The sequence below is a fragment of the Homo sapiens genome, chromosome 1 (assembly GCF_000001405.40).
Source record: "Homo sapiens chromosome 1, GRCh38.p14 Primary Assembly".
In the NCBI taxonomy this organism is placed as follows: Eukaryota; Metazoa; Chordata; class Mammalia; order Primates; family Hominidae; genus Homo; species Homo sapiens.
This window is the reverse complement of record NC_000001.11, coordinates 60,520,147-60,544,437: the sequence shown is the minus strand read 5'-3', so window position 1 is coordinate 60,544,437 and position 24,291 is coordinate 60,520,147. Positions and strand designations below refer to the sequence as shown.

The following is a 24,291-nucleotide window of genomic DNA, read 5'->3' as shown; positions in this document are numbered from 1 at the left end:
AGCAAGGAGGAGCCAGTTTCATGTCTTTGAGAGAACCTTCTTAACCACGTGGAGGTTGTCATGCAGAGACCAGGGTTTGCACTTTCATAGGTGCTATGGCTTCATGGAAATCATCTTTCTCTCTTTGCTTCAGTCTCCTCATATTAGGAAATAATGGGAAAGTAAGGATAAGGGGTTAAAACACCTAGACTTTAGTTTGGAATTCTTTTGGTTGCAAATGATAGAAAACCAACTCAAACAAGTTTAAACTAATCATGATAATAATATTAATAATACTAGAAAAAAGAATATATTAATATGGATACTGAAGCAGGTAATAGAACCAAATAACAGAGATCTTACTAAACTTCAAGAAAACTAGAACCAGTGGCTAGAATACCACCAGTTCTCTCTCTCTTTCATATCTCTGTCCCCCTGCCTCTGCCACCAGGGTCTCCTGTAATCCTCTGCTGCTCATGCCAAGAAACAAGGTCAGGAGGATTAGAATGAGGCAAGTAAGACACCTTAGGCCTCAAATTTAATGAGGCTGTCACTCTCAGTGCCTTGCATGTGCCAATCCCTAAGTTTGGTACCCTAGGTCCCTTGCTTGTCTCAGCTCAACCTAGCCCAGCCCTGCTGGTAAACATGGCTTCCAAGAACAACAAAGCAACCAACCAACCAAATAAAAAAACCTGCTTTTGTCCCATTTCTCTCTTTGTCTCAAGCTGAAACTTCTTAGGGAAGGTACATCTTAGATAAGTTTGAGTTAGTATGCACCATGAGTCAACTACTCATAACTAAGGGTTGGGCATGTTTTACATGATGGGAACCAGAGTACCCATGTGGATGAGTCTGGGAAGGGGGAAAGAGGATAAGATTCTAGGAAAAAATGCCAGGCAGAGGATGTATTGATATTACTCCATTTCCTGGATTATAGGTTGCTATTTGTGCAGTAGTGGGCTCGATGGTGGTATCTCAAAAGGTATGTCCACATTCTGCTTTCAGAACTTGTGAATGTGACCTTATTTGGAAAAAAAGTACTATGTGGATGTAATTAAGGTAAAAATCTTCAGGTGAGATTATCCTGGGTTATCTAGGTGGGCTCTAAATCCAATGACAATTATTCTTACATAAGTTACACAGAAGAGAGTCCCAGAGACAGGATAAGGCCATGTATGAACGGAGGTAGACGTCGGAGTGATGCTGCTACAAGCCAAGAGCTCCCTGGAGCCACCAGAAGCTAAAGAGACCAGGGATGGAAGCTATGGGGCCCTGCCAGTCCTTTGATTTTGGACTTCTGGCTTGCATCGCTGGGAGAGAATAAATCTCCATTGTTTTAAGCCACCAAGTTTGTGGTAACTTGTTATGGCAGCCCTAGGGCACTAATACAGCCACCAAATAAGAAAGCTTTGGTAAGCCACAGGACTTTGGTGGCCATCAGGAGAGGATGCATAGCGTCATGGCTAAAATTGTGGGGTCTGGAGCTGGCCTGCCAGGGTTTGAATACTGGCTTTGCCATTTAATAAATGTCATCTTGGGCAATTATTTAACCTCTCTGGGCTTCAATTTCCTCATTAATGAAAGAAGAATAATGATAGTCAATTTATGCAGAGCTTTGAACAAGTGCTTGGCGTATACTATATACTTACTGTGATCCATGATTGTTCATGTGTAAATTTGGGGTGATAATAATAGCTCCCCTGCCCAACTCATGGTGCTGCTAGGATAATTCACTGTGGGAGTAAATGTGAGTCCATTCAAGTCAAATGGCCTACTGTGTATGAGGAAATGGATTAGGAAGTACAGGGGACAAATAAAATAAGCTAACCTTGAGAAACTTACAGCATTATTGTGGACTGAATTATGTCCCCCCCAAATTTTTGTGTTGAGCTCTAACCCCTGATGTGACTGTATTTGGAGATATGGTGTGTAAGGGGTAATTGAGGTTAAAATTAGGTCATTAATATGGGGCCTTAGTCTGATAGGACTGGTGTCCTTACAAGAAAAAGAAGAGCTCTCAGGGATTCCTCTCTCTGTGTGCACACAGCGCAAAGGCCACATAAGGACAGTGAGAAGGCAGCCACCTGCAAGCCAGGAAGAAAGGTCTCACCAGATACCAACCCTGCCAGCATGTTGATCTTGGACTTCCAGCCTCCAAAACTGTGAGAAGTAAATTTCTATTGTCTAAGCCACTCTGCTACAGTATTTTGTTATACCAGCCCAAGCAGCATAATACAAATCTATTAGTGGAAATTATAAAGCAATGCATATTATGATTACTGTATTTTACTATTATTAACACCTATAGCTAATTCTTCCAACCAATAAGCTGCCTGTGGAATGTTAAGGGTGTTTTGGTAGTACAAATTTTCTTTGTTTCACACTCTGACTCTAAGAAGTTTGCTGAAACACACAGTGGAATTCAGGAAATTCAACAATTTTAAATAAAACGCTCCCTTGAGGCATGTCAGCAGGAAAGAGATAAGGATTAAAAAAAAAAAAGCTTTCTACTCAGGGAGATATTTTGCCTTTGTGAAATGTATTTATTCCAACTACTCTCTATTCTATATTTTACCTTCATTTTGGAAGCCTACTGACATTAAATAATAGGTTTCTTTCAATATGGATGAAAATGATTCTGAGATGAAAAATTATTCCTTCCTTGGAAAAGAAAACTATTTTTCTTTTCACATAGTAGACAAATGCTATTCTTCAAATGTCCCTGCCAGTTAAATCCCTGCTCATCCTTCTAGATCCATTTAAATGTCACCTCCTCCATGGAGCCTCTTCTGACACCACCTCTTTCAAATTAGCATTAATTAAACCATCCTCTCTCTGTGTCTGGCATGTGTCATGATCTGATTTAGGGTGGACACATTTGCTAGAATATGAGATCTCCAAAGTCAAGAGCAGTACCTTTAGTCCATTCCCGCTTCTCCCATAGCCAATGGGGTGCCCATGCTTAGAAGAACTTCAATCAATGAATCAATGAGCTGTAAGGAGTCTCACCTATTCCTATTAACACACACACACACACACACACACACACACACACACACACACACACAGAATATTTCTGTTTGGAAGTCCTATCTTTTCGTGTTATCTAAGTTTACTATATGACAAAAGAGTAAAGCAGTTAAGAGGGTAGCATTTGAAAGTAAACATTGACAGCACTGCTCCAGTCTGATGGGCCTGGTATCCAGTTTTCTTCCCTGTCCCTCTTCCCAAGCATGATGACTTTCTTTTCTTTTCTGGTTTTGATTAATAGTACCTTTTAGAGTGCTGCTGTCTGGTGTTTCTGACTTTAGTTTATCAGGGTTTTTGACCTCAGTCATGTGCATTGTGTGTTAAAGAAGTGTTTTTCAAAGTGTGGTTCTTGGACCAGCAGCATCGGTATCAACTAGGAACATGTTTGAAATGCAAATTGTACAGCCCCACTCCAGAACTACTGAATTAGAAACTCGGCGTGGGTTGGGGGAGAGCCATGTCATACCCAGGAGTTTGTGTATTTTTAAAATTTATTTATTTTTATCAATATATAATAGTCATACTTTTTTTGGGTACATGTGATATTTTGATACCTGTATACAGTGTGTAGTGATCAAATAAGGGTAATTGGAATATCCTTCACTCCAAACATGTAACTTTTCTTTGTGTTGGAAACATTACAAATGTTCTCTTCAAGCTCTTTTGAAATATGCAATAAATTATTAACTAAATCATTCCTACTGTACTGGGAGCTTATTTCTTCTATTTAATCTGCATTTTACAGCCTTCTGAGTGATTCTTAAGGTGTTAAAATTTGAGAATCACTACTGTAGAAAGTTCACCTAATCTCTGCATCCTCAGCTCTCAGCTGATGTGGCTATAATTTTTATTCTGTAAGGTGATTTTTTAGGACTTAATAAGATCTAAAGCCCTGTAAGTTCAAACAGAAGGTGCTAAATAAACAGAGTTAACTTGGAACCTTATACTCCCGTGTTAAAGCTGTGGGTCTGAGTAACCACACTTTTCCTTCACAGGGCCTTCTGCTCACATGGGCTTCCGTGCACCTGCTTCAGGAGACAGCAACACTTGCGCCCGCACCGCGGCAGGCTCCCATCACCTGGTGGATATGCCGCGCCGAGTCTCATCACACCTTAGTGAAGGAACACATGGACCCATATGTTAGCGGATGTATTTACATCGTTTTATACAGAAAGGGGAAGTATGTTTCACAATAAATGTTTGCATACTTTGGAGCACATCTTTTTTTTCTTTCAGACAGAAAGAAAGAGACAAAAAGAGCGGGAGAAACTTTGGCTGGAGCCATTGATTCTTTATTCCCTTACAATGTTTTTATCACCCAACCTTGAAAATAGTCTGTGTGTCAGCTGGGCAGGATCTGTGCTGAGGCTTGCGTCCCTGGGGGCAAAAAAAGGGTAGTGACTTTTAGTTGAAAGAGTCAGGAAGGGAAGAGTCAATAGTTCAGCGGTAAGTATTCTGAACCCAGGCAGGGAAACCAAAATTCAGGGATACCTGAAGCCCTCAAGCTAAGGGCCAGGAGCTAGGAGCTGAAAGGATACAGGAGCTATGTCATAAATAATTTAGGAGGTGGCTAGATGATTGCCAGAGTGTCCACAGCATGCTTTACTTGGCTTTTATGGATACAATGTGCATAGGTTGCTTTTAGGAACAATAAAGAAATGTTTATTAAACTAATTATGATTCAATAATATTGACAATAATGACAATGTTGATAGTATGCAATATAATAAACTGGTGTGCTTTTATTTCTCCCTTTTCCTGTGCACATCTGTTTTACTCTGTGACATTTTTCCATTTAGACTCAGAAATAAGAAACCAGTATTGCTGCAAAGGTAGGCTGTCACTGGAGGAAATGAAGATTAAAAATTAAAAAATCAAATTATAATTTTTATATTTTAAAAAAACAGCTTAGGTGTAACAGAGAAATACTTGGAAGACGTTAGAGTATGAGACAAGGAAAAATTTGCTCCAAACCTCCTCCCGCATAATCACCTCTAATAAACAAATATCCTAGACAAATATAATTTTCCAAGCTAGGGGAAAAAAAGAACAGTTGGAGAATATAATGTACAAAAGTTAATCACCAAATAAGGCCTGCCCTATTCCTCTTTCTCCTCCAGCCATTATAAGGAACAGGAACCATAGAATTCTCTGGTAAATATGGAATCTAGGAGTAGAAGAAACCCATGCTTATATCTTGCCCATAACTCAGAAAGAAAGCAGATTCACAGATGGTGCCCACACCCCAAAGTCATGGGGATTGTAGAGTGCAGAATTATTCCCCAAGTTCTGTCCTGGTTCTTTAAATATATTTTCAGGAATCAATCCTGTACTAATAGAGTCCTTTAAAAAAAAAAAGAAGTGAAATTTAAGTGATAAGTCCAAGACTTCCCAGCAAGTACATGGGAGAGGCAGCAAAAAAAATTCAAGGAAAGGAAAAGAAGGAAATGGGGCAAAGAAGTCCCTAGAAGTTTTCAGAGTTCTGCCTTGAGGCCAACTATGTGAATGTGGATGAAACCTACTTAATCCTTCCTCACCTATAAAATATGAATATTCACTTTGCCTACTTTACAAGGTTCTTGAGATAATAAGCCAAATGGAGTATAACATGTAGTATTTATCCTGCTCAAGGTCCTCTGAGGTCCTTAGATTTGTGGTTTGATGTCTTTTGTTATATTTTGCAAAATTCTTGGATGCTATTCTTTCAAAGCTTTTTCTTTCTGCCTCTCTCTCTCCTCCTTTTTGGGCTCCAGTTACACATATGTTAGACCATTTAATATTGTCACATAGCTTTTACATACTCTGTTCTATTTTTCTGTTCATTTCCTTTATTTATTTGTTTTCACTTAAAAAATATTTTCCTTTCCATTCGGGTAATTTCTAAATTTCTAATTGTCTTATCTTCAAATTCACTGATTATTTTATTGGCTGTGTAAAATTAATGATGAGCCTGACAATGGAATTCTTCATCTCAGATGAAGTCCTTTTATATTTCTCCCATTGTTATTTGTCTGCTAAAATTTCCCACTAGTGCTCATATGTTTTCTACCTTTTCCACTAAATTCTTGAACATATCAACCATAATTATTTTAAAGCCCAATATTTTGGTTATTTCTTATTTTTGTATTGTTAAATTTTTTTTCTCGTGACAATGGGTCAATTTCACTTGCATTTTGTGTCTTTGTAATTTTATCTTAAATGTCAGCTATCTCATCCAGAACAGTAGAAACTTGAGTAAATACTATTTACTCCTGGAAATGAATGCACATTTTATCCTTTAGGCAAATAATGTGGAGGTTTGAGAAAATCTGGTTAGGAGTTGAATGGGGCTTAGGTTTCATTGCTATGATTACTTCAATGCACTGTAAGCTTTCATCTAACATGCCTTGAGCTTAGGGTGAGAGTTGTGGTGCTGAAGTGTTTTTCTCAGTGTACTTACTTTAATCTCACATTTAAGGTTTCCCTACGCTGTGTGCCATGTGTTCGTTCAGTATGCCTTTTCACCTCCCTCAATGGTATATTGCCATTGCTTGCTACTTGTTGCATGTTAGGCTGATGGCGGTGTTTTTTTTTTTTTTATTTTGCTAGTCTAGTCTTAGGTAGATGCTGTATATCTGAGCCTCCTTTCCTTTTCTTCCAGGAAAACTGCATACCTCAGAAAGGGGTTGCTCCTCACTCTGAGTACTAGACTAAAGATAAAAAGACTAGATAAAAGTACTAGACTAAAGACAGAGCTGACCCATGACAGGTATGTAATGTGAGTGAGAAATATATCTTTGATGTTGCAAGCCAATACAATTTTAGTGTCTTATATTACTACATAATAGCTTACCTAACGTAACTGATATAATTCTACAACACTATTTTTTTCCATTTAGTTGATTAAAAATATTTGTATACAATAAAAGACTTTTACAGTTCATAGAGATGCTGCATTTTATTACCTGAGTTTTCTAATTACTTGAAGAACAGACCTCGAATGGAGTCTCTTCTGTTTAAATTGAGTAAGCAAGGGAGTGAAGTAGGGTCACAACTGGGCTGGATTTCAAATGAAAGGTTTTGGGTTTCGTTTTTTGTTTCATTTCCTCCATTTGTAAAATGAAGGACATTGGATGAAGTTTAGTAATTTTCAACTTGTGGCCTTCTAGGGAAACCATATGTTCAAATAGGACTGGACATTAATTGTGGCCCAAAAAACTAATAATGTCTTTCACATAGTGTTAGGGGTTGAATTGAGTTCCACAGTGCTGTACCTTTAGATTCAGACGTTGAGATACTATTTCCCAGTTAGACTAACAATGTAACCTTATTTGGGGATATAATCTTTACAGAGGAGTTAAAGTTAAAGTGAGGTCATTACAGTGGGCCCTAATCCAGTATGACTGATGTTCTTCTAATCCAATATGACTGGTGTCCTTAAAATCGAGTATTACTGATATCCTTATAAAATTTGGAAGCTTGGACACAGAGACAGATACACAGGAAAGACAATGTGAAGACACACAGGGAGATGATAGCCGTACCACTGGAGCAATATACCTACAAGTTGAGGAATACCAAGGATTGCCTGCAAGCAATAGAAACTAGAAGAGAGAAGGAATGATTGCATGGTCCTGCTGACAATTTGTTTTTGCACTTCTGGCACCCAGAACTGTGAGACAATACATTTCTGTTGTTTTAAACCACCTATATTTTTGTACTTTGTTGCCTAGGAAACCAATACAGAGTTTTGTACTGGAAAGTGAGGTGCTGCTGTAACAAGTACCTGAGAATGTGGGAGTGGCTTTGGAATTCAGAATTGGGTAATGAGTAGAGGTTTGAAGAATTTTGAAGCCTTTATTGCTTTGAAGAGATTATTTGTGAAAATATGAATGTTACAGGTGCTTCTGGTGAAAACTCACATGGAAATGAGGAACATGTTATTGGAAACTGGAAGGTGATTATTGTTAGAAAGCCACATAAACTTGCTGAATTTTGTTTTGTTGGGTGGAAATGCTGTGGACATTAATATAAAAAAGTACTTAAAAGTGTTATAGTTACTTTTTGTTCCTAACCAACCGGTGAATCTCGTAGTCATGGGTCCAGTCCTGTATCTCTTTCACTGTGAGGTGGCTCCTTTGTCAGATGCTATGCTGTCTGATACTCCATGCTTGTGAATCAGACATCCCCTGTGTCCCCAGATTGTGGTACTGGCTAAATCTCTGTAAGCAGGGAAACCAACCCATAGAGTAGCTTGCCATCTAGGATGGAAGAGACTCAACATGGCCAACTTGCTATGAAATGGCTGGATGCGTTGGACATTCAGACTCAACAGAAGTTTAACCAGCCTTGGTAAGAGAACATCCATGCTGTTTGGCCTGTGCATGGATTTCTACATTTCTGCCTCTGTGGCTTCTCCATTTATGTGTTCATCACACCGGTTTTGGGGTGGCTAATGATGAAGCTGGCTTATGTCAACTTGCTGACTCATTGTGTCTACTTCATTCTTCAGTGTCTTTCCCATGGTAGGTGCTTTCTCATGTACGTTCATGTGTAAAACAAAACTTTTGTTACTTCATGTTCTCTCACTTCCCCTATGGCTCTCTGTCCATCCACATGCCCCTATTCCAGATTGCCATGTCTCTAATCTTGCAGGCTTTTACATCCAGGTGTCTACAATCTGGCCAGGTAATTAACTAATAACTGTTGCCCAAGAAACTCTGAATATTGTCACTCCAGGCTACTTTTCCTTCCACATATTATGGATGAAGAGGTTCACTGCGCATAGCTTAGTGATGATCTTCTCTTTGTGGTGTCTTTTGAGTCCACTCCTGGATTTGACTGTTATGTAGCTACACATTTCCCCAGTAAATTTTTTTGTGCATGGAATCCCATTTTGTGGTCTGCTTCTCTGAGGCTCTAAAAGGAAAACCAGGTGACATCCAGAGTGGTCTGAGAAAACAGAGATTTGGGGACTGGCTCACTCATTAACTGGCTGGCAATGAGGACGCCATCCTGAGTGGAATGTGGGGGACAGATAGTTCCTGGCACAAGACATCCATCTTCAATAGAGAATTAAATGCCGTAAGTTTGATGATTTCACCATTATGGACCTAGGAACAAACCCTAGTCAAAGGGAATCCCCAGGTCACAGTAGGTCTGGTTTCTGGTGTTTCAATATTGTCACCACAAGTCATAGGGACTCCATCATGCCCCGGGTTACTAAGGAGCCCAGCTTTGAGATTTCTTTTCTACCGGTCAGCCCCGGCCTACAGAGGAGTGATGTTGGTACCCCTCTCACTAATGAATTATTGATGGCCTTGGAAAATGGTAGCAGATTCAGCTGTAGTGCAAGCAACCCTGCTGCTTTTGCAGACCCTATGTTACTGGGAGTATCAGTGGTGGAAAAAGATGTTGTATGGAATTTATTATGGTAAGCCCCATTGACAGAATCACAGCAGAGCCCTGTGTGGTTCTGGAGCAAGGCTATGCCATCTGCAATGGAGAATGATATGTCTTTTGAAAAAGAGTTCCTTGTGTGTTACTGGGCCCTAGCAGAGACATAAGGCTTGTCTCTGAGGCACCAAAAGAACATGCCTCTGGAACTACCCATTATGGGCTTAATTATGTCAGAGCCACCAATTTTTAAAGTTAAATTAGGCCAGAGGTAGCCTACTGTAAAGTTAGAATTATACATGTGGATTTGATCTAAAGTGTGTGCATGATAAAGGGAAAGTGAACAGGGGCCTTCAGATCACTACATGGATTTGAAAGCTGTAGGAAGAGAAAGGAAAGGAAGGAGGATAAATGGGAAAAGCCTCACACCACAGTACAATTATGAGAAAATGTTGGCTAGGCTGATGGGAAGTCCCTAAACAAAGATTGCCTGTTAGAGGCATGTCTCATGTCAAGTGGTAATGACCTGGCTCTAGTATCCATGCTGCACTCAGTCATTGGCTGGGAGCAACTTGGCAAAAGATTGGCCTCACTATGAACACTTTGCTGGATCCAGAGTGCTTTGTCTGGATGCTGCCAGTCAGCCATGCTTCTCGGAGAAAGTCTTTTTGAACAGGAATCTGAGTGGCACATGTGTCAGCACATTTACTAAGTTGTAGAGCCATATTTTCTCTTTTTTCTCTTTATCGAAGTTATCCTGCACCCTCCCTATGTAGTGTCCTAACGTATTATGTTCTCCTGCCTGGAAAACTCTTTCCCTTGTGCCTTTTACCCAACTGAATCTTCAGATTGTAGCTCAAATATCACTTCTCCAGGGAAACTTTCTTTGAATCTCCAAAAGGATTAGATTCTTTACTGCATGATTTCATAACTCTCTATATTTTTTATCCATGATGCTTATCAAAGCTAATTACACATTAGTAAAATGATGGTATTTATAACCTTACTAGGTTGTGAGCTCTGTGACATCATAGTCTTCTCTGTCCTGTATTCCCAACACCTGTCACAATGCTTGTCATATAGAATGCATTCAATGAGTGTTTGTTGAATGAATAAATGGCTCACTTTATTAATTTCAACCAGCTTTTAAAATAACTGAGAAACTCTTAGAGCATTAGGCTCATAAATATGGACATGAAATATCATCATCCTATATATAGATGAAAGTACAGAACATTCAAGGAATTGATGCCAGGAAATTATACTTTATTAAATATGATTTTTTGGCTCTTTTTTCTGAACATGGTGTCTAACAATCAGAAAAATATTGATATTTGGAGAATTTTGCATATTTGGCTTCCAGGTCTTCAAGAAATTATAAATGGACATTTAATTAAATCAAATCCTAATAGTTAAAAATAATGATATTATTATAATTTAATTACTCCTTACTATGTACTGTATATTATAGTAAGTCTTCTATATGTGTTATTTGACTACTTATTCTCAATATGATATGCTAGGTGAGGATATTAGCACTTAAATGGGGTTATATATTTATTCAAGGTCTCAGACATTGCATCTTATGCATTTAGGTTTAGATACATCACATCCATCTAACACCAGTGACCATGGCTTTGTTCACAATCTGCTTATATTTTGAATTTCTTGCCAAAATACCGCAAATTTTTATTTCTTTCTGGGAGGCTATCTAAAGAATGAGAACTTTGGAATCTTATCTAGTTTCAGCCTTGACTTAGGTTCACCTTATCTGGTCAAATCTTCCTTATGAGCACCAGACAGCACTAACCACCACCCTTTCTCTCCCAACACCCTTTCTCGCACCAATTTCTGAATAATATTGAATTTCTCCATCTGGATATCTTATTTACTCCTCAATCATAATATGTCCAAGGCTAAACTCAGCACCTGAATTATTAAATCACTCCTTTCCCTTGGTTCTCTTTTTCAATGAATAGCATCACCACTTTCCCAAGCATTCAGGTTTGAAATTTCAGAGCTACTCACTCCTTCTTCACAAAAATACATATTGTGAGTTCCTTTGAGAGGGGGACCTTGTTCTATTACCTCTATTCTTTTAGTATGCTGTACAACATCTGGCATGGAATAGTTGCTCAAGAAGTAATTGTAGAATGTTTCCTCATCTTTTGTCTCAGGCATCCATTGGAGATAAAACAGTGTTAAATGCAACAGAGTTTTCCAGTGAGGACTAAATTCTGTAAACTACAGTGCTTTTAAACTAGATCAATAGTTGTCTCAGTGAATTCTTTGAAAATATTATGAAAAGTTTGTTTGTGTGGGTATATACAGTCATTTTTGTAGGAAAGGGCACATGCTTCAGGAGTCAAAGAATCAGCTAAGAATTTTGCATCATGAAGATCATCAATGAATGGCCTCTTCACAAGTAGTTTCAGTGAGTGGGAGAGGCAGAATAAGATTTCAGAATGTAAAATGAATGAGAAATAAGAAAGTAGGGACACAAAGAAAGTAAGCTTTAAAGAGAAGAAAAACAATACAGGTGGATACAAGATTAAAAGGAGATTTTATTTCCAGACTGGAGAAATTTGGACTGGAGAGGGAATATAAAAGCTATAATCATTGAACATGTACTATATTTTGATTGCTGAATCATGTACTTTACACAAAGTAGGTATTATTGATTACTGACTGGGTCAGATCTGGAAGATAATAGAGTTAGGAGAGAGGGATATGAAAACAGTGAAAGAGTTGGCCTTGTGTAGGATGAGAGGCACCTAATTTTCTTAAACTTGAAAGGAGGAAAATATGGGTCCAGAAGTAAATGAGGGGATGAAGAGGCTACAGTTGGTCCATGCTGTAACCTCCATTTTTCTTTACCAAGTAAAAGGCAAAGCAGTCTGACAAAAATGAGATGGTGCAGTTGGGCATTGACATCTATGAAAGTGGGGAAGATTTTGAAAAATTACTGAGAGGCTTTTCTTACTCATTTAATAAATATTTGTAAAACACCTATCATGTAGGTACTAAGAAAACATAGTCCCCATTCTCTAGGAACTTGCCACATTTAATAAATTATAAGTTTCCAAAGGGTATGGAGCATGTTATAACTATTTGCATATATCCCCAATAGTTCATAGCCTTGTGTTTCCAGCACAGTAGGTAAACATTAGAGTTTAAATTCAACTGAATTAAATCCACAAGAACTCTTTATTTTGAGTAAAGCCTGAGGCTCTTGGGGTCACAGATTATTTTTGTGGAAGTCCTCTACAATCAAACAACAGAGGTCTGCCAGTTGGGAATACATCTTGCAATTATTAGTAACTGAAAAATGCATTTAGAACAGTGATTCTGAACCTCAGCACGACTGACGTTTTGGATTAGGCAATTCTTTGTTTGGGGAGCTGTTGTGCGCATTGTAGGATTTTTAGCAGTATCTTTGGCTTCTGCTGACTATCTGCCAGTGGCACTTCTCCCCTCAAAAAACCCCTACCCAATTGTGACAAAAATATCTCCAGACATTAATGAATGTCCCCTGGGGGGCAAAATAGCTCCAGATTGAGCAGCTTTGATCTAGAATTTTGATGATTAATTTATATAAAAATAGCTTTGTGTAACAAACATTGAAATTCAGAAAATGTGATTATTAGGTAGTGATTAGCAAAGCTGGGATGCTCTTTCCTTATCAACTGACTGGTGTTTGAACAATTCCTACTTCTCCAGCTGGGGGAAGTCAGAGGACCTTCAAGTAATGTTCGTTCTCTCTCCTCTTAACAGCTCTGAATGGGAGGTTACCCATATTTCTCTGATCTTTGTCTTCCTTCCTTTAGGATTAGATGCAGTGGATTGTCCTCCCTGTTGCTGATACTTTTAGTGATTGCACATGTGTTCATGTAACATTGCACAATGTAATGCAGTGAAATAAATGTGGGACTTAGAACCAAAGGTCTTGGGTATCAAACCAGCTTGGTTATATACCTTTGGGCAAATCAATTATTTTGTTCTCTCATTATTATAGGGATGTCTTGATACTGATAAATGAAGGATAGAGCTTTATATAAGTACAGAGGAATATTAATTTCTTCCCCTATACTTATATTTAAGATGATCCCTTTTTTGGAGGTAATGGATCAGGGGGACAACTTGAAGAGAGAACTATAAGTATTTGACAATGTTCTTACATGTTAGGAAGACAGGAAGCCAAAATGTTGCCAAAATTTTAACTGTTAATGAATGCAATAGTGATGGAGTAATGATGTCATACATGGAAATCATAGGAAATCATTTTTTTAAAAAAATTGAGATATAACTTAAATGCCAAAAAACTCACTGTAAAATTCAGTGGTTGTTAATTTAGTCACAGAGCTGTGAATCTATTTAGACTATTTTCATTATCCTCAAAATAAATCTCATACTTATTAGAAGTCATTTCCCATACCCTCCTTCCTTTATCCCTTGGCAACCAATAATCTATTTCTGTCTCTACGGATTAGTATATTCTGGAAATTTAGTATAAGTGGAATAATATAACTTGTGTCTAGCTTCTTTTACTTAGCATGATTTTTTCAAGGTTCATGCACATTATACCGTGTATCAGTATGTCATTCCTTTTCATGGCTGAATATTATCTTAGTGTATGAATATACCACATTTTGTTTATCTACTCATTAGTCGGTGAACATTTGGTTTGTTTCCACCTTTTGGCTATTCCAAATAATAATGTTATGAATTTGTGTGGACATATGCTTTCATTTCTTCTAGGTGTATATCTAGAAGTGTAATTGCTGGATCATATGGTTACTATATGTTTAACATTTTGGGGAACTGCCAAACTATTTTCCAAAGTGGCACAAAGGAGAATATAGGAAAAAATGTAGTTGAAAGGTAAATTGATTTTATTAATGTTGAATTTGGAGTGTTTACAAGACATAAAGAAGGGTATTTTCAGAAGATTGATAGCTATATGGGTCTTATGCTTAGGGGAATAGTATGAGTTTGAGAAACAGGTCTTGGCATCGTCAACATGTACAATTAAAGATGTGAGAAACCAACAGCTCACCCAAAGAAAGTAGACATTACCACAAGGAAGACTTACATATCTAAGGTCAATTCAGATAGCATGCATACACTGTGTGATGGAGGGCAGGAAAGGTGGAGATTAATTAGGACTTGGCAGGCAATTGATCAGAATTTTTTTTCCCATAGCAAGAAGATTTGCTTCGTGGGAGGATTTCACTGGGCAGAGCTGGACATACAGAGAGCAGAGAAGGACATTCCCACATAGAATCTTAAATCTTGAATGCTAGGGAAGAGCCTACTAAGCGGAAAAGTGTGGGAAAGGCTTCCAAACATGGGAAATGGCATATATAAAGGCATAGTTGTTCAAAATGTCTTCATTTGAACTTCAGGATAATTAAACAATTAGCATCCATTTGTTTGTCAGTCTGTGCCAGCATTTTATTAGGTGCTGCACACAAATTATCTCATTTAAACCTTACAACAATCTTCATTCTAGAGATGAGGAAACAGACACAAAGATGTTATATTAACTAGCTATCAAAGATGACATAGCTGGAAAATGGTAAAGTCTTGGTAAAACCCAGGGAGTTTGAGACTAGAGCCTGCACCTGACATGTGAAGCAACTCATCGAAATAATTTTAAGTATTAAAGACCATTAGTCAGCACCAGTGGTGTGCTCCTGGTAGCTGATAAGGCGCTCCCAATCTTGGTACCACTTGATGATCTAGTGGCTTACTTGATATGTTTTTCATTGTTCTTTTTCTTTTCTTTTCTTTTCTTTTCTTAGATGGAGTCTTGCTCTGTCACACATGCTAGAGTCCAGTGGTATGACCTCAGCTCACTGCAATCTCTGCCTCCCGGGTTCAAATGATTCTTCTGCCTTGACCTCCCTGGCAGCTGGGACTACAGGCCTGCACCACCACGCCTGGCAAATTTTTTAATTTTTTTTAGTAGAGATGGGGTTTCACCATGTTGGCCAGGCTAGTCTCGAACTCCTGACCTCAAATGATCTGCCCGCTTTGGCCTTCCAAAGTTCTGGGATTATAGGAGTGAGCCACCATGCCCAGCCTGTTCTTAAGTCTCCTAGAACAGGGATTCTGAAACACAAAACTCATCTGGTAAGTGCTTAAAAATACAGATACTTGGACTTTTCTATAGATTTACTCATGCATAATTTTCAACATGAGGCCCAAGATTTATGACTCTGAGTACCACTGAGGTGATTATGACACACCCAGCCTTGCTGCTGGACTTGGACTAGGTATGTCATAAGGCAGTTACTCTCTTGAGTCTTCAGATGCTCAACCTGGAACATAGTACTTCTTAACTTTCCAAATTTAATTCCAAGTTCAGTTTAGAAAAAAAATCCTAAAGAAAAGATTGCTATACTATACATTCTGGACCTCGTTTATCCTGGTTTTATTCTCCCCATATTTATTGGACACTATACAGGCAACTTTTATATGCTAGGTGATCTCATTAAAATGGACTTATTTTCTTCTCACAACATCCCTATGAGATCCATCATGTTGTATTAGTCCATTCTCGGATTTCTATAAAGAAATACTTGAGACTGAATAATTCATAAAGAAAAGAAGTTTAATTGACTCACAGTTCTGTAGGATGTACAGGATGATTCTGGCATCTGCTCAGCTTCTGGGGAGGCCTCAGGAAACTAAGAATCATGGCAGAAAGTGAAGCGGGAGCAGGCATGTCTTACATGGCAGGAGCAGGAACAAGAGAGAGAGTGAGGGGTGAGGTGCTACACACTTCTAAACAACCAGATTTCATGATAATCCACTTGCTATCATGAGACCATCACCAAGGGGATGGTGTCAAACCATTCATGAGAAACACCTCCATGATCCAGTCACCTCGAACCAGGCGTCACCTCCACCACTGGGAATTACAATTTGACATGAGATTTGGGCAGAGACACAAATCCAAACCATACCACATGTTATTTCAGTTTGATGTAAAAAGACACAGAAACTTATTTGCCTCAGTTTATAGGACTAGTAAGAACTAAGATTTAAGCCTAGGAATTCAAGGGTTCTTTCTGTTACCTCAGCACCCTCTCCTTTGGGAAGTGTTTAATACTGAGATTAATCCATTTGCTGGCTATTAATATACTCTTCATTTCAACAATGTGCAAAGACATGTTCAAGGTTACCTATAATAAACTTCCAAGCTATACTGGTCACATTTTATGATGTGACTCATATGTTTTAGAATGAAATTTAAAGTGTTTGAACTATTCTTTCTGTAATATGCAAATCATAGCCATCATGTGGTCTAAGGCCACACTCAGTTGAAGGATCACTGACCTTGCTGGCATTGGAAAATAAACCCAAACAGTTGGAGCTGGAAACCATCTGTCTTTAGCTATTTCACATTTTGTCAAAGTCATCTGCTTAGTTGGAAAATAGCTGTGACCAACTAACATTATTAAAATATAAAGTATTAAATGGAACACTCAAACTGTTTATTCAGAGATAAATTATTATATGTCTTTTGAAATTTTAGAAGAACACTAAGAGTTATGAAAGATATTCATACTGCAAAGATAATACAGAATACTTCACAGGGTGTTGGAAAAAATGAATTTATGCACACATATTTTATAGGTACAGAATCTTAGTTTCTTACATTAAAATTGTAGTTGAATTTAGAGATCATGTAACCCAACTCTTTTGTTTTATAGGTGAGAAGAATGAGAGCAAGAGAGGTTAAATGGGTCGTTCAAGTTCATAAAGTACTGACAGAAGATGACCCTGAACTGTTCTCACTATATTAAAAGTCAGACAAGTATTATTATTATTATTACTAATATAAGTAGCTCCAATTTATGTGATTCTCATGATTTGGAGGACCTTACCTATATTAGCTTATTTAATCTACACAGCAAACCTAGATGGTAAATATTTTCATTGCCATTTTACAGAGGAGGAACTGAGGTTCCTGAGGGTTAGGAAACTTGTAACATGAACTCCATACAGATATACAGAATGATATAAACAAATAAACAAATACATAAATGTGGAAGAAGTAAAAGCTCTTCCTTGGAGTAAAAGGCCACCTAATAAATGAGGCAGGAATGATAAAATTAGAGAAATCATTTGCAAACATCACAGTATTAATTGCTTAAAGGAAGAATTATAAATAGATAATAAAGCTAGTGGGTGAAACATTAATGGGACTAAGATATTTATCTAGCCCCAAAAGTTTTGCTCCATAAAAATACTTACTTAGGCTGGGCATGGTGGTGCACACCTGTAATTCTAGCACTTTGGGAGGCCGAGGTGGAAGGATTACTTGAGCTTAAGAGTTCAATGGCAGCCTGGACAACATAGTGAGACCGCATCTCTAAAAAAAAAATTAGCCAGGTGTGGTAGTGCGTGTATGTATTCTCAGCTACTCAGGAGGCTGAGGTAGAAGGGATCGCTTGAGCCCCAAGTTGAGGCCACAGTGAGCTGAGATTGCACCACTGCACTCCAGCCTGGGTTACAGAGAGTGATCCTGTCTCAACAATAAAATAAAATAAAATGAAAAAAATATTTATTACAAATGAAAAAAATGACATGTTTACACTGGAGAGGCCTACAGGCATCATCTTAACCAATGATCAAAGTTAATATCTACACGAATAGGACAAATAATATCATTTCCCTCCTGACCTCATGCATGTTTAAAACACAACATAACTTCTTGGTTATTTCTGTCAAGAGTGCATAACCTGAAACTAATCATAAGAAACCACCAGATGACCCCACGATGAGAGGTATACTAAAAAATAACTAAGCTATTATTTTATTTTATTTATTTTTTGAGACAGAGTCTTGCTCTGTTGCCCAGGCTGGAGTGCAGTGGCGCAATCTCAGCTCACTGCAACCTCAGCCTCCTGGGTTCAAGAGATTCTCCTGCCTCAGCCTCCCAAGTAGCTGGGATTACAGGCTTCTTTTTGTATTTTTAGTAGAGAGGGGGTTTCACCATGTTGGCCAGGCTGGTCTCAAACTCCTGACCTCAGGTGGTCCACCCACCTCGGCCTCCCAGTTTTGGGATTATATGCGTGAGCCACTGCACTCAGCCACCAGACTTTTTTTTTTTTCTTTTTACTTTTTTTGAGACAGCATCTCCCTCTGTCGCCCAGGCTGGAGTGCAATGGCACAATCTTGGCTCACTGCGACCTCCGCCTCCCAGGTTCAAGTGATTCTCCTGTCTCAGCCTCCTGAGTAGCTGGAACTACAGGCGCCCGCCACCACGCCCGGCCAGTTTTTGTGTTTTTAGTGGATATGGGGGTTTCACCATGTCGGTCAGGCTGGTCTCGAACTCCTCACCTCAGGTGATCTGCCCGACTCAGCCTCCCAAAGTGCTGGGATTATAGATGTGAGCCATCGTGCCTGGCCTATTTTGAAAGCAACATATAATCCAACTTTTTCTTTTGTTATAAAGAGCAATATAGGAACAAGGAGTGAAACACCAAGGCAATTTGACAGTTAAATGGTAGAAGTAGATCAGTGTTAATTTCCTGATTTTGTAATTATACTGTGGTTATGTAACAGAATGTTCTTGTTTTAGAAAGTACACATTGAATAATCAATGGTCATCTTGTCTGTAACTTAATTTCAAATGTTTCAATAAAAATATGTGTATGTTTGTGAGTGATAAAACAAATGTAGTAATGTGTTAACACTGAAAAACTCTGTGAGAAGATATACTGGAATTCTTTCTATTATTATTTTTAAATTTTCTTTAAATCTAAAATTATGTCAGAAAGAAAGCTAAGGGCTGAGTACACTAGCTGATGCCTGTAATTCCAGCAGTTTGGGAGGCTGAAGCAGGAGGATTGTTTGAGGCCAGGAGTTTGAGATCAGCCTGGGTAACATAGTGAAACTTCATCTCCATAAAATATTTTAAAAATTAGCTGGGTGCAGTGGCATGAACCTGTAGTCCTAGCTAGTTGGGAGGCTGGGGCAAGAGGATTGCTTAAGCCCAGAAGTTCAAGGCTGCAGTGAGCTATGATTGTGCCGCTATACTCCAGCCTGGGCCACAGAGCAAGACTCTATCTCAAATAAATAAATAAATAAAGTTAAAGAAAATAAAAAGAAATCTACTACAGCCTCAGCTCTGGGAATTAAACCAATCCAGTCTTCCTGAGCTCAGAGGCCATGCTCTCTATCCTCATGCATCAGCGGGTATGTGAATGCCTGTGTTTCCTCATCTTGACGGAGTTGTTCTTGCCTTATACCTGAGTCTTCTACTTATTACCATGAGGCAGGGGGTTCTATTTACTTAGATTTATATCTCTCATGTAATTTCAGTAACACTGATGAGCTTTGGTAGACAGTGCAGTACAAATGTGAAGTCTTGAATCTCTTAATTATCCTTTGTGAACTCAGTTTTCACATCCAAAAGGAGGTATAACAATATCTACCTCAAGGATTGTTGTGAGAAATAAATGTAATCATTAGGGGAAAATACATATATTTTGAAAGACATGGTGGTTTTTTAAAACAATGTTAATTGTTGCTCCAGACTAAATGTGTTTCATCTGCTATTCCTCACCTCCCCACAAAATTCATACAGTAAAACCTTAGTCCTCGATGTGATGGTATTTGCAGGTGGGGCCTTTGGGAAGTAATTAGGATTAGATTAGGTCATTGGGATGAGGCCTTCATAATGAGATGAATGCCCTTATAAAAAGAGGAAGAAACACGGGATCCCTCCCTCAGCAATGTGAGGATACAGCAAGAAGGTAGCTGTCTGCAAACAAGGAAGTGAGCCCTCACCAGATACTGGAACTGTGAGAAATAAATGTAATTGTTTAAACCACCCAGTCTACCAGTCTATGGCATTTTTGTTGTAGCATCTCAAACTGACCATGACAATTGTGTTTTTCTCTTCCCTTTTGTATGTACCATGACATGTAGTTTACGCACTGAGAGCATCTAAAGAATTTGAATGAGGAGCAAAGCTTTTTCAAAGGTTGGATTAAACTACAATTGTCCTCTCCAAAGAATGTTCAGCTATCCTTTATGTACTCTGTTGCAAGTATTTCAAGAAGGAGGTGAGAATATATGAGGTTCACGTAGCAGCAAAGGAACTACATGGTAGAAGAGGGCACCTTTTTTCCAACATCTCTTTATGCTAATGTTGTACATCTGCAAGATGCAAGAAGAGGACAAGAGCCTATTTTTGTAGCATTCTTGAGTCAAGAGCTTCCATGAAAAGCTTTAAGTAGCAACAAGCCTGCCATTGAAAAAGAAATATTTGGTTTGGAATTTGAGATTGTTAAAAATCATTATAGAATGCATGTTCTACTGTGAAATAAACTGATAAATGAATAGTATGTTGGGGCAGCCCCTGAAAGGTCATTTACACTACCTAGATGCTTTATAGTTAAGGAAAGTAGGTCCAGAGAGGGGAAATGATCTGACCATGGTTTCAAAGTTATTTAGTAAGAAATAGAATGAGGAGTAGTTCTCCTGACATTTAGATAATAGGACCACCATAGAAAGGTGGTTTTATGATTCCATTAAGATTTGGATCATTTTTTTCAAGGCTTTGAAAGTGAGTGGTAAAATTTCTATTTTCATTATCTCTGGAGCAGTATACTAGAGTATACCAGATATATAAAAAAGCCTTTCATCTAAAAGGTAAATGAACAAATTCCCCCCAAACCAATGAATAATATATAAAATGAAACTTCAGAATACACCATCAAAGTGGCAAGAAAATAAGAAATCTTAAGAGGAATAAAAAACTTAAAAAGTTAAAGCAAGAATCTAGGAAATTAAGCTAGTATAATTTTAAGGCAAAAATGAAAGAAAATTATAAAGGATGGTATACTATTTATTTATGCTGATCACTGAATAGTCTCAACTCTCTGACTTCTTGGCCCATAGTAAGATTGTACTGCCTGGATTCCCATGTGACCAATTCTGGCCAGTGTCTTGTGAGAGAAACTAATGTGTCTCTCTGGCTTTGGGCTAAGCATTTAATTGTCAGTGAGATCCTCCAGTGCTTGTTTTCTCTCTAGTAGGATGATTGACAATATTCCACATAGCATTTTCTTCCACATTTTCTGGTATATCATACCACGTGTGATATGATTTGGCTGTGTCCCAACCCAAATATCATCTTAAATTCCCACCTGTTGTGGGAGGGATCTGTTGGGGGGTAATTGAATCATGGGGGCATGACTTTCCTGTGCTGTTCTTATGATAGTGAATAAGTGTCATAAGATCTGATGGTTTTATAAGGGGGAGTTTCTTTGTACAAGCTCTCTTCCCTTGTCTGCCACCATGTGAGATGTGCCTTTTACCTTCTGCCATGATTGTAAGGCCTCCCCAGCCATGTGGGACAGTAAGTCATTAAATCTCTTTCTTTTGTAAATTGCCCAGTCTTGGGTATGTTTTTATCAGCAGTGTGAAAGTGGACTAATACAACATGGGAATTATGGGAGCTACAAGATGAGATTTGGGTGGGTACACAGAGCCAAACCATATAAATAATCTTCTCAGTAGATGTGAAATAAATACTATTATTATTTCCACTTCATGAAAAAACTGAAGAAGCGCAAAAGCTTTAAGTAATTTGCTTCAAGGTCACAAAGTTACTAAATTACAGAACTAGCATTATTGTCAGTAAGAAGGAAAATTACCCCTATTGTAAAGTCTAATATGCAATGGCATGACATATGAAGATACTAATATATATGAGGATATACCTAAATTTCAGAATGACGACACAAAACTACCAAATAATAATGATTAGAGAAGTTATGAAAATGAAATAGAACTAAAACCCTCAGCAAAAATAGTATATAGTTTGGAAAAGGATGGAGATTAGATGTTCAAGTGTTGTAAGCTTCTCCCAGTGTTCAAAAGTAGAGCAAATATATAAATTTTTATTTTATTTTGTTTTATTTCATTTTAAGACAGCATCACAGTGGTGCAATCATGGATTAGTGCAGCCTCAACTTCCCAGGCTCAAGCAATCCTCCTGCCTCAGCCTCCTTCGATAATTTTAAACTTTGTAAAATATTTGGCAAAATATTTATAAGTGGCCACTACAAAGTCAGCTAAAAAGTGTATACTCTCCAACTGGAGAAGATTAGAGAATTAATAATAGAGAAAAGACTGAATCAATTTAAAGGGAGACAAGAACGTGGGAAAAAATGGAAAAAGCAAGACAAATAAAAATTAGGTGGTAGAAAGTAGAATTAGTAATTTCCATTGATGTAAGTGGACTTACTCTTTATTTACAACACAGAAATTTTGAATGAGTAACTTGATATCAAAATTAAAAATAGTGGAAGTAATAAGAAATACATATTATTTCTATTCATGTTAAAATTTTTAACATGGTATTAGCAAAAATAAATGAACAATCTAAAAATGTATAATACATTATGAATGTTTAGATTCTCCAGGACTGCAAGGTAGGTTTAATATTAAAAAACCAATTAGTATAAATTAATTTTATTAGCATATGATTACAAAAGAAAAATGCATGACCTTCTCAACGGGTATAAAAGAAGCATTCACTGACATTCAATATCCATGCTTGATAAAATTTACGGTAAACTAGAATCAGAAGTGATATTTAATAAGTACATGTTGAAATACATAGAAGATGCCATGTCCTGAATGTTTGTGTCTTCCCAAAATTCTATGTTGAAAACATAGTCACCTGTATGATTGTGTAAGAAGGTGGGTTCTTTTGAGAGGTGATTAGGTCATGAGGGTAGAATCCTCATGGAAAAGACTAGTGCCATTATAAAAGAGGCCCCAGAGACCTGCCTTTCCCCTTTCACCATCTGAAGACACAGTTAGAAGGCATCTTCTATGACCCAGAAAATTGGTCTTCATGAGACATTGACTCTGCTGGCACCTTGATCTTGGACTCTCCAGCCTCCAGAACTGGGAGAAATAAATTTCTGTTGTTTACATGCTACCCAGTATATAGTTTTTTGTTATAGTAGCCTGAATGGACTAAGACAAAAGACAAAAATGCTCACCATAACTACTTATTTTCAATAATTTTCTGGAAGTCCAAAGCAAGAAGAAGATATAAAAGTTAGAAATACTTTTATAGAAGATAGAAAAGTTAGAAAAGGACAGCATAATGTTGCTGTTATTATTCACATATACATTGTTTCCATATAAAATGTAAAGCATGTACTGATAAACTACTAGACTTGAACAGGAAACTTTGCAATGTTGATCAAAACAATAGCTCTATATAAAATTCAATTTGCATTCCCATGCCTAATCAATGAGAATTAGAAAATTTAATGCAAAAATGATATTATTTACAATAACAGCAAAAATACAATGTATTCACCTCTCCATTCACATGTATACTTATAAGAAGAAATAAAAGAAAGATTTTTATGACATAAAGAAAAATTATAAAACTTAATAACATTAAAAGAGATTTAAACCAATGGGAAGGTAAGGTATACCACGTTCATAAACAGAAAGAGTCCAGTAGTTTAAAGCTACCAAGTTCTCTCTTAAAACTTAAGTCAAAAACTTACCAAGACTTTTGTACAACTTGACAAATTAATTCTAAAATTCTAAATTGATTCTAAAATTTTTGTGAAGGAGGAAGAGCTAACAACAGCCAAAACACCCCTGAAGGAATGGGAGGAGAAAGCAGAAAACATGTCCTATTGGATGTCAAGATCTTTGCATAAAGCACTTTAGTTAGAAATGCAATTTTGACTTAAAGATAGAAAAATAAATCAATTAAATCAGAAGAGAATTAGCAAAAACAGACCCACAAATATATGGAAATGATATATAATAAAACTTACAGTACAAATAATTGTGTAAAGGAAAGACAACTTAATGATACTAGAAAAATAGTTATTTATATAAAAA

The 24,291-nt window shown here is 37.6% G+C and overlaps 1 long non-coding RNA gene across 1 annotated transcript in view; it reads left to right on the top strand.

Annotated features, from left to right (window-relative positions):
* LINC01748 (long intergenic non-protein coding RNA 1748) overlaps positions 1 to 24,291 on the top strand; it is a 106,970-nt gene that overhangs the window by 78,248 nt on the left and 4,431 nt on the right. Inside the window, exons 5-7 of the long non-coding RNA NR_146508.1 lie at positions 2,027 to 2,141; positions 4,005 to 4,189; positions 15,189 to 15,519. This is a non-coding gene — a long non-coding RNA (long intergenic non-protein coding RNA 1748). The remainder of the gene's footprint in view (positions 1 to 2,026; positions 2,142 to 4,004; positions 4,190 to 15,188; positions 15,520 to 24,291) is intronic.